This window comes from Homo sapiens, chromosome 2 (assembly GCF_000001405.40).
Source record: "Homo sapiens chromosome 2, GRCh38.p14 Primary Assembly".
Classification (NCBI taxonomy): domain Eukaryota; kingdom Metazoa; phylum Chordata; class Mammalia; order Primates; family Hominidae; genus Homo; species Homo sapiens.
The window spans coordinates 227,383,342-227,394,191 of NC_000002.12; the positions used below are offsets into that span (position 1 = coordinate 227,383,342).

A 10,850-nucleotide genomic window follows, 5' to 3' on the forward strand; every position below is an offset into this window, starting at 1 on the left:
GAGGCGGAAGGATTGCTTGAGCCCAGAAGTTGGAGGTTGTAGTGAGCTATGATCATGCCACTGCACTCCAGCCTGAACGACAGAGTGAGACCCTTCTGTAGAAAAAGAAAAATAAATAAAAATAATAAAAATACAATACAATACAATGAAATCATGAACGCTGCTGGGAGAAACAGAGAAACCAATCTATACAAACAGAAGGAGGAGGAGAGACAGAGAGGAGAAATATGCAGGAAGAGGAGGTAGGAGACCACACAGCTTTAGAGGGTGGTAGAGAAAGGGTGACTGCTTGGTTTCTCAATGGCATTTTACGTCTTAATTTCTACCCTATGAAAACTGACTGCAGACTCTGTCTTTGTTTTCTATGAGATGCCTCTATATTATTATCCTTTCATATTGTTTTTAGTGGGTTTCTATTTTTCTGCAACCAAAAGAGCTAAAACTAAAAGTTGCTAAAACCAAGGATGGAAAAGTATGCAAATAACTTGTCACATGGCGTGCCAAAACAGCAAAAGCCTTGGAGTTCAGAAAAAGGAAGATTCCATCAAGAAGGGCTGGGAGCCAGGATTCCACACAGCTTTGGAGCGTGGCTAGAATTTGGTATAAAAGATAGAAGGGCGTTTCATAGACTAGTGTCAGTTAGTTGCAGAAAACTGAAATTCTAGCTATGGAATTGGGAAGAGATGTAATGGGAGAATCATGTGTACAAAATTGCTGGAAGGGCTAGAAAAGCAGCCTCTAGACTTATCTGCAGAAATGCTTCGCAGGTCCCGACTGCTGAACTGGCCCGGGAGATGCCGCTGTCCCTGCAGTAGCCAAAAAGGCAGGGAAGGCTGGGCACTGTGGCTCAAGCCTGTAATCCCAGCACTTTGGGAGGCCAAGGTGGGTGGATCACCTGAGGTTAGGAGTTTGAGACCAGCCTGGCCAACATGGTGAAACCCCGTCTCTATTAAAAATACAAAAATTGGCCGGGTGTGATTGCAGACGCCTGTAATCCCAGCTGCTTGGGAGTCTGAGGCAGGAGAATCACTTGAACCTGGGAGGCGGAGGTTGCAGTGAGCCAAGATCACGCCACTGCACTCCAGCCTGGGCAACGAGAGCGAGACTCTGTCAAGAAAAAAGGCGGGGACATCAAGAAGCCACCTCTGGAACGATTAAGTTCACAAACACCCCAGTACGGCTGCGGTCCAGGAACCATTGCCGCTGTTGTCATCACCACTCTGCACACCCCGGGTTAGTGATTGAATGCTACAACACTGAATTTACCTCCGCCTCCTGGGCTGAAGTGATTCTCCTGCCTCAGCCTCTCAAGTAGCTGGGATTATAGGCACCTGCCAACACGCCCAGCTAATACAAAAATTGGTTGGGTGGGGTGGTGGGTGCCCAGCTGACTACAGCTGCCTCTGCAACTGGTTATTAACTTGCATGACGCTATCTGGACCCAGGAACATTGCTGCAGTGCAGAAAACTCAACTCCTCCACCCTAATCTTCCTTATCAGCAACAACAGATAAAAGGTGGAGGAAAATGACCTTCACCTCATTTCTGCCTTTTATACCCCTCAGGGGTTGATCTAATTCTTGCAATATCCAGATCCCAGATGCAGAGAATTCTGTGCCATGTAATTTCTAATCATCTCAGCCTCTGCTATATGGAAAAAAAGCAAATACTAGAGGGACATGGAAATGGCTATTGAGCAAGAGAGTTCACCATAGCCACCACTATGATCTCATTTAAATGGTACGGAGGAAACTTTCTCTAGAATATCTAGATCCTTTTATAAGAATCTGAACCATGTTTGTGCTTGTAACTCTAGAATGACATGCAACATTTTAAACAACAAATCAAAACTACCTAGTTAATTCAAATGAGAACAGTGTTAATGGTATTAGAAAAACTTGTGTTTGGCACGGTGGCTCACGCCTGTAATCCCAGCACTTTGGGAGGCCCAGACAGGTGAATCACTTGAGCCCAGGAGTTTGAGACCAGCCTGGGCAATGTGGTGAGACCCTGTTTCTACAAAAAAATACAAAAAATAAGCCAAGCATGGTAGCACACATCTGTGGTCCCAGCTACTCAAGAGGCTGAGGTGGGAGGATTGCTTGAGCCTGGGAAGCGGAAGTTGCAGTGAGCCGTAATCACACTACTGCACTCCAACCTGGGTGACAGAGTGAGATGCTATCTCAAAAAGAAAAAAAAAAAAGAAAAACTTTTCTTTGAAGAATGATCTACTGCAGGGACCAGTTTCACTACTTCCAGGGGAAATTCATGTGATACAAATGGGAATTAAACACCCACCAGAGTTACCTCAGGGTATCCCCTTCTAAACACACTGCAGTCAAATCAGCTAGGAGTTTTACTAGAACGTGAGCTTTATATGGTAGACACAGCTAACTGTCCATGAGAAATGTATGCTTTTCCTTTTCATATGACAAGGTTGTTGCTGGGGAAGTGTCAGTCTAGCTATGGACTGGACAAGACCATGTGATTACTGTGATTACTTCCTTTTTTTTTTTTTTTTTTTTTTGAGACAGAGTCTCACTCTGTCACCCAGGCTGGAGTGCAGTGGCACAATCTTGACTCACTGCAACCTCTGCCTCCCGGGTTCAAGCAATTCTCCTGCCTCAGCCTCCTGAGTAGCTGGGGTTGCAGGCACGTGCCACCATGCCCAGCTAATTCCTTTTTATTTTTTAGTAGAGATGGGGGTTCTCCAGGTTGGCCAAGCTGGGCTCGAACTCCTGACCTCAGGTGATCCACCCACCTCCGCCTCCCAAAGTGCTGGGATTACAGGCATGAGCCACCAACCCTGGCCAGGACCATGTGGTTACTTCTAACCAATGACAAGCTGTGTCACTGTCAAGCCACAGCGCTTAAGAAGTGTTGGGCTATCTGTTCTTTTCTTTTCTACCTATAGACTGGGGACGCACTAAGCCATCTTAGAAGCCATATCTTGAAAATGCCAGTGCTGTCTTCAGCCTAGATCCCTAAATAACTGAGTGAAGAATAGCTGCCCGAATCCTCATCCCCTCCTGCCCACCTAAAACTGCCCAGGATAGTTGACAGCAACAAGAAAAGCTTCGTTGTAGCTAATATTACCCTAATAAATTCCGAATATCCCTTGTCTTTCATCTTACAACCTTCCTAAAGTTTGCAATAAGTGTTGCCAAACATCAGCTTCATCACTCTCACCCCTCCCTCAAAAAAGACAAAAACAAATCAAAACAAACACAGTGAAATACAATATTTTTCTAGTGTTTTATTAAATTATATTTAGGAAGATAAGGGAACACTAGAAGCTGTAGCCAATATATAGTATACAACGAATATAAGCAGGTAAATAAGCACAGAATTTCCACATTTAGTAAATGTTTTGAAAGAATGGAATATATTAGTAATCGTTATTTCATTCCACTGAGCTCATGAATGTAAACTTTTGAACTTTCATCAGGTAAGCTACGGCCTGTTTTTGTTGCAGTGCAGATTATAACTGATGAATCATATGAGATTAAAGGTGATTTTTCGTGTTAACAAATTTTAATGCCCACTATAGCAAAGGTATATATATGTAAAAGCATAAGATACATAAGAGAAATCTTCAGAGCGTGAGGCTGGAGAGCCTGTGAGTTTAGTTCTGCGAACTCAATAGATCTCAATAGATTTACATGTTGTTAAAACTGAAAAGCTCCTTACTAATTCTTAGTTCAAACTTATTAGTTTATAGGTGAATAAGCAAGACTCTGGGAGGCTGACTGACTTGTTTGTGGCTGACTGCTGTGGCAGAGCATGGACTTGAATTTGGGCTTGTGACTTCTAATCAGGTGTATTTATATGAAATCACATGCTGCTCTCTCTTGCTCTCTCTCTCTCTCTCTCTCTCTCTCTCTCTCTCTCTATATATATATATATATATATATATATATAAAATATATATTTATTATATATATGTATTTTTTTCTTTGAGATGGAGTTTCACTCTTGTTGCCCAGGCTGGAGTGCAATGGTGAGATCTCAGCTCATTGCAACCTCCGCTTCCTGGGTTCAAGTGATTCTCCTGCCTCAGCCTCCAGAGTAGCTGGGACTACAGGCATTCACCACCAGGCCTGGCCAATTTTAGTATTTTTAGTAGAGACAGGGTTTCATCATGTTGTCCAGGCTGGTCTCGAACTCCTGATCTCAAATGATCCACCTGCCTCGGCCTCCTAGAACGCTGGAATTACAGGCGTGAGCCACGGCGCCTGGCCACCACTACTCAATATTTAGGTGAACCAGAGGAGATGAAAGTATACAAAGTCTACAAATCCAAGCCCAAGAAAGGGCACCTGCCCAGAGGCTGGGGTCCCTCCTAGCAACAGCATTGCTTCTGGCAGCAGCACTTCTGCTGGCAACAGCCCTTCCCACAGCTGTAGCCACACGAGCTGCAGGTGCGGCGGCAGCAGCAGATCACGGGAGTGCTGCAGCAGCCTCCACAGCAGCCACGGCAGCAGGGGCAGCAGCTGGAGCAGCAGCCCACCCGGTAGCACCTGCAGGTGGTGCATCTGCCACAGCCACCACCACAGCCACCACCGCAGCCACCACAGCCACCACAACCTCCACAACCACAGCAACCCATGGTGTCAGTAGAGAGGACTCATCAAGTAAAATCAAGTAAAATCAAGTAGGAGCAACAAGTAGTTTCAATGTCATGCCTTGAGCCCTATTTTAGAGCTGTGGCCGAGGTGCCACGGGCCCTCCTTCACAGAGGAGGTCTCCACCGTTGGTGATTCTTCAATAATCACAGGAGTGAACAGGTGCGGTGGCTCACGCCTGTAATCCCAGCACTTTGGGAGGCCAAGGCGGGTGGATCACAAAGTCAGGAGATCGAGACCATCCTGACTAACATGGTGAAACTCCGTCTCTACTAAAAATACAAAAATTTAGCTGGGCATGGTGACGCACGCTTGTAGTCCCAGCTACTCAGGAGGCTGAGGCAGGAGAATCACTTGAACCCAGGAGGCGGAGACTGCAGTGAGCCGAGATCGCACCACTGCACTCCAGCCTGGGTGACAGAATGAGACTCTGTCTCAAATATAATAATGATAATAATAATAATAATAATCACAGGAGTTTTTCATGCACCCAGTACCAACCTCAGATCTAGGCAAGATCTAGGCCCAGCCCTGGGACGTGCACTTTAGTATCCCACATATCACAAGAGTACAAAAAAAAAAATCTATGTAAAAAACGCAAGCCCTAATCCACCCCCACCACTCAGGACCCAGAGCTTAGCCCAGAAGCCTAAATATGTGCAGCTGGGACTGGTACTGCTCAGGGACCTGCTTCTTCGTGTCTCTTGCCCCACGACCTCAAAACAAGGGCTGCCAGCTTCTCCATGCCATAGAGGTTTGTGGATTGATTCCTTCAAAGTGTGACAAGAATTTGTTGGAAAATACCTAAGTAAGAGAAAAGATGGGTTAACTTGTCAAATCCTTCTTCTCAGCATGACTAAACAATATTCTTGTGTAATAAAATATTTCCAGTAAGTAGTGGCAAGAATCCAGTTTCTTGCTCATTGCGTTCTGCCCCATTGTTGGAGGTACTGACGTGCTCGTGTGGTATTTACAAAAATTGCATGCCGTCACTGAGCAATGTTTGCACCATGAAACAATTCATATTTTTCTTAGGTTTGTTTACATGTAGGTCTCGATATAGCATGCATGAAATAGGCTGATTCTTTATGTTGGCAATAAATGGACATGAAACACTAGACTTGTTAATAATTTTACTTTCATAATATACTTTCTTAAATACACTTACATGTTTAAAGGTCAATAAATATTGCAGTTCCCTTTAAATAATTTTATTTAAAACTTGGATGTTCATTTTTTATAATTTGAATTTTGCCTTTTAATTATGTCTTTAAATTTCAAGAATTTTAAAAAATTTTGAAGACTTTTTTTAAAGAAAGTTAACTCTTAAGGATGTGAAAAATACTTTTAATTTTGTTACTTTTAACTTCCTTTATTTTGTTCTCTTAATAAAAATCTATTCAGATTTTTTGGGACGTGACCCCAGGCAATTTTATTACTTTATCCCTGAACCTCAGTTGCCTCAGCTATAAGATGGGGATAACAATGGCACCTATTTCATAATTATGCAGATTAGATACACTAATGCAAGGAAAACACTTTAGTATGTGCCTACCACATGCTAAACACTCAACAAAGGTTATCTGTAAACGCTGATGTCTCAAACAGGGATGGGATATATTGAAATTTTATAGTTAGAATACCGTTACATTTTGTTTTTAATCTTTTAAATCACTGTCAGTAGAATACAGATTATTTTTAAATTATTTATAAATATTTAAGAATTTTGCTGAAATGACAGTAAGAAAAATATTCTGAAACAAATAAATGATTTTTGAATTATGTATTATTTTATTATTTTATTATTCATCTGAACATCCTGCCCCATTAGCAGAACATCTAGCCATAATACAATAGTGATTAAATTCAGCTGTCTTTGATATTTTGCCCAAAACCACAGATTTACACACTGTTTTTCTTTTCTTTTCTTTTTTTTTTAAGACAGAGACTTGCTCTGTCACCCAGGTTGGAATGCAATGGTGCCATCTCGGCTCACTGCAACCTCCAATTTCCGGGTTCAAACGATTCTCTTGTCTCAGCCTCCCGAGTAGCTGGCATTACAGGCGCTGACCACCACGCCTGGCTAACTTTCGTATTTTTAGTAAAGACGAGTTTTTGCCATGTTGGCCAGGCTGGTCTCGAGCTCCTGACCTCAACTGATCCACCGGCCTTGGCCTCCCAAAGTGTTGGGATTGTTACAGGAAAGCGGTCCCGATCTAGACCCCAGGAGAAGGTTCTTGGATCTCCCGCAAGAAAGAATTCAGGGCGAGTCCGCAGTGCAATGTAAAAATAAGTTTATTAAGAGAGTAAAGTGGTGAAAGAACCAGCTACTCCATAGACAGAGTAGGACGTTCTTGAAAGTAAGAGGAGGTACGCGCCCACCCTAGGTACAATACTGGTGTATATGGGGAGATGTACTCTGCTATAAGGGTTTGTGATAAAGGATTAATTTTCTTAATTACTATATTTTGCAAGAATCTATAATATTATCTTTAAAGCAAAATTAGGAATGCTTTTGTTCTCCAGATATTGGGATATCTAGACACTCCTAAGTCTGGGTCTGTTGAGTAAACATTATTAATTTGTTCCCTTAACCATAAACATCTAGAGGCTCAGAATGCCTAACTTTCTGGGAATGCAGCCCAGCAAGTTCCGGCCTCATTTTCCAGCCCTCACTCAAAATGGAGTTGCTCTGGTTCGAGTGCCACGGACAGGATTACAGGCATGAACCACCGTGCCGGGCCTACACATTGTTTTTCGTTTAGTTGTTATGAAGGCGTATTTGACAAGGCGGAAGGATAGAATACATTTTATTTAAAAGTCGGTAACATGATCTATCACTTTTAAATATTTGAACATACCGTCTGTAGGCTTCCCTTTGTACTCAAATCTCAGTCCTGCAAATGATAGGGCTAGGCCTACGTGCTAACAAAAATGGAGGGCATCCGAGCCCAGGCATGCAATGACCCAGCAGCTCAGAGAGCAGGGCATGCTCAGGACACACAATGGTGTGATGGTGGACCTGGAGCACAGTGGGGAGGGAGGAGCCCTGTGATAGATGGGGCCAGTTAGGAAGGCGGCTCAAAAGCTGCTCTCAGATGTTTGTGTTTGTGTTTATCCCCGGGGGACTGGGATCACTGACGGCTTAGACAGGGGAGAGGAAATCCCAATAGCCCATGGAGCAGGGGAGCTGTTCTTCCTGCAGGGAAGTCGGTTATGATGCTCAAAACCACACCTTCTAGGAGGGAAACCCCGAGATACTATTTCCCTTCAGTCATTGGATAGGAGGTAGGGTCTGGGTAGGACCATTTCAAATCTAACTTTTGGAAGGAGGTGCCACTGCCCTTAGAAAAAGGGAATAGGCTGGGCGCAGTGTCTCACGCCTATAATCCCAGAATTTTGGGAGGCCGAAGGGGGCGGGTCACTTGAGGTTAGGAGTTCGAGACCAGGCTGGCCAATATGGTGAAACCCCATCTCTACTAAAAATACAAAAATTAGCCGGGCATGACAGCAGGCACCTGTAATCCCAGCTACTTGGGAGACTGAGGCATGAGAATCACTTGAACTCGGGAGGCGGGGGTTCCAGTGAGCCGAGATGATGCCGCTGCACTCCAGCCTGGGCAACAGAGCAAGACTGTCTTGAAAAAAAAAGGGGGGGTGTTGTGTGGTGTGGGGAACTGATTATTGTCCTTCCCCAAATCACCTGAGGAAGAACAATATTAAGATAAAAGAGAGCACATTCTTTAAAATGAGATACCTGGTCATTCCTTCTGTTGTTCGTGGGATGCTATAGGTAGGACACTGTTGGGGAAATGTTCTTGAATGTGAAATTGGAAGGGGAGCCATGGTGAATTAGGAAAATGCACAGCGGGTGCAAAGTAGCCCCCTCCAGGTGTTTGGCTTGTGCAGGTCCCTCTCACTTCATGGCTTAAGAAAAACAAACAAACGAAATCTCCTTCAGGTCTTGTGTCTCCATTATGTGGTCATTCTTTTGATCTGATGTCACATTCCACGTTTCATTGCCTGACTGAAAATAAACATTTATTTTCATTCATAGGATGCTGACTTCCATCTGAATTCCACATGAATCTTGGCATTTATTATTTCCCATCTCTCCAAAATGCTCAGCTCTGCCCATAGGCTCAACTTGAAGCAATAAAAGGGAAGTAGCCAAGAGCTTACTTTCTCTAACTTTTTTCTTTTTTTTTTGAGATGGAGTCTCTCTGCGCCGAGTTTGGAGTTCAGTGGCATGATCTCGGCTCACTGCAACCTCCGCTTCCTGGGTTCAAGCAATTCTCCTGCCTCAGCCTCCCGAGTAGGTGAGATTACAGGTGCTCGCCACCAGGCCCAGCTAATTTTTGAATTTTTAGTAGAGACAAGGTTTCGCCCTGTTGGCCAAGCTGGTCTCAAACTCCTTACCTCAAGTGATCCACCTGCCTCCGCCTCCCAAAGTTCTGGGATTACAGGCGTGAGCCACCGCTCCCGGCCTCTCTACCTTCTTTGTCCCACAGGAAAAAGGAATATGCTTCTTTGGGAAGGACATGAACTAGGGCGACAGCAAAAGGAAAGCGAATGTGGGGCTGTTTTGGAGTCCCATACACTCTCAGCGGCAGAGCAATATTAAAACTTCCTAGAAGACATCTGAGCAGCAATTCTAATAATCATGTATTATGTATCTGCAATAAATAAACCATGAACCAACTAGCAAATTGCCTTGCTTGTTTCTCAGCAGAAGTTATTTTCCATACAGCTTTTCATCTAGTGACCACCATTGTTTAGACTTGGATGTTTGACTGCAGTTTTGTGCATGTGGCAGCGCATGACAATGTTTGCAGTGTTGTTTAGAGTCACACAAACTTACAAGTCAGTGGGGGGATGGGTTCAAGTATAGCTTATTAATTCAATTCATTCAGCAAATATTTACTGAGAGTCTACTATGTGATAAGCACTTTTCTTTCTTTTTTTTGGAGACAGTCTCACTCTGTTGCCCATGCTGGAGTGCAGTGGTGTGATCTTGGCTTACTGCAACCTCTGCTTCCCAGGTTCAAGCGATTCTCCTGCCTCAGCCTCCTGAGGAGAGTAGCTGGGACTCCAGGCACGTGCCACCATGCCTGGCTAATTTTTATATTTGTAGTAGAGACGGGGTTTCACCATGTTGGCCAGGCTGCTCTCGAACTCCTGACCTCAAATGATCTACCCACCTCACCCTCCCAAAGTGCTGGGATTACAGGCCTGAGCCACCGTGCCCAGACGATAAGCACTTTTCTAAGCATATGGGATATCTCACTGAAAAAACTCAACACAAATCCCTCCCCCTTGAAGCTTCCATGCTCATTGCAGGAAACAGAAAATCACCCATAAATGTGAGCAAAGTAAGGAAAATTGAAAGTATAAAGTGTTTCTTTTGTAATTTCAAATGAAATCATATCCATAATGTATGCTATTATACAGCTTTTTATAAAATGAGACAAATCATATAGTGCAAAAGATCTCAAAGACAAAGGAAAAGGAAAAAAAAAGAAGTTGCAGAACCATATAAACTCATTTGAATATGGCTGTGTGTGTGTGTGTGTGTGTGTGTGTGTGTGTGTGTGTATCTGAAAAGATACATAGCAAACAATGTTTCTCCAAATCTCCCACTTACTTACCATATACCCACTACCACAAGCTGCAGCAGACATACTGAATATCTCACTTTGTCATGGTGGATTTTTTTCCAAGCCTTCCTTGGAGCTCTGGGGGCCTTTTGCAGCTCGGCACTTTCTGCAGATGTCTCTGCGGCAGTTCTGCCCTTGCCCGGCCCAAGGCAGCTGCAGCATCTAGCTTGTGGCCCTTTTCCATCTCTTCTGGGAGCTGCCTTTATTCTGAGCCAGCTCTACACTTAAAGGGGCGTTTGTTCTATTTTATCCCGAATTCCTAAATGTTTTGTGGAGACGGAAGGCTTTTTAAGATATCTAGTCTACCATATCTCCAGGAATAAAAATGATTTCTATAAATTTTTAAAACCTATGTAAAATTAAAAGTAAATTAAAATTGAAAACAATTATATTTGTTCATTCCCTATCTGTTCTTGCATGAAATGTATTGACACGAGGATGCCACATCATGGAAAGAGAATTCTTTGCATATGAAAGCATTAGGAGAGACCCTTAGGAAAACAGATGAAGTCCTCCAGCGTGAGAATGCTGTCAGGAAAAATATGCCAGTGCCCTGTAAATAAATCTGA

The 10,850-nt window shown here is 43.6% G+C and overlaps 1 protein-coding gene and 1 long non-coding RNA gene across 2 annotated transcripts; one reads left to right on the forward strand and one right to left on the reverse strand.

Annotated features, from left to right (window-relative positions):
* On the reverse strand, positions 4,342–4,608 carry SCYGR1 (small cysteine and glycine repeat containing 1). Its single transcript, NM_001395402.1, has one exon. It carries the CDS (start codon positions 4,606–4,608, stop codon positions 4,342–4,344), a length of 267 nt encoding a protein of 88 aa, NP_001382331.1.
* A 3,845-nt stretch (positions 4,609–8,453) lies between these two features.
* Positions 8,454–9,333, forward strand: LOC124907993 (uncharacterized). The gene is made up of 2 exons (XR_007088113.1): positions 8,454–8,943; positions 9,136–9,333. It is a non-coding gene; the product is annotated as an uncharacterized LOC124907993 (long non-coding RNA).
* Positions 9,334–10,850: the final 1,517 nt, after the last annotated feature.

What these genes read in the sequence shown, in the direction of transcription:
- SCYGR1 (NM_001395402.1), bottom strand. Translation starts at nt 4,608, where the DNA reads ATGGGTTGCTGTGGTTGTGGAGGTTGTGGTGGCTGTGGTGGCTGCGGT.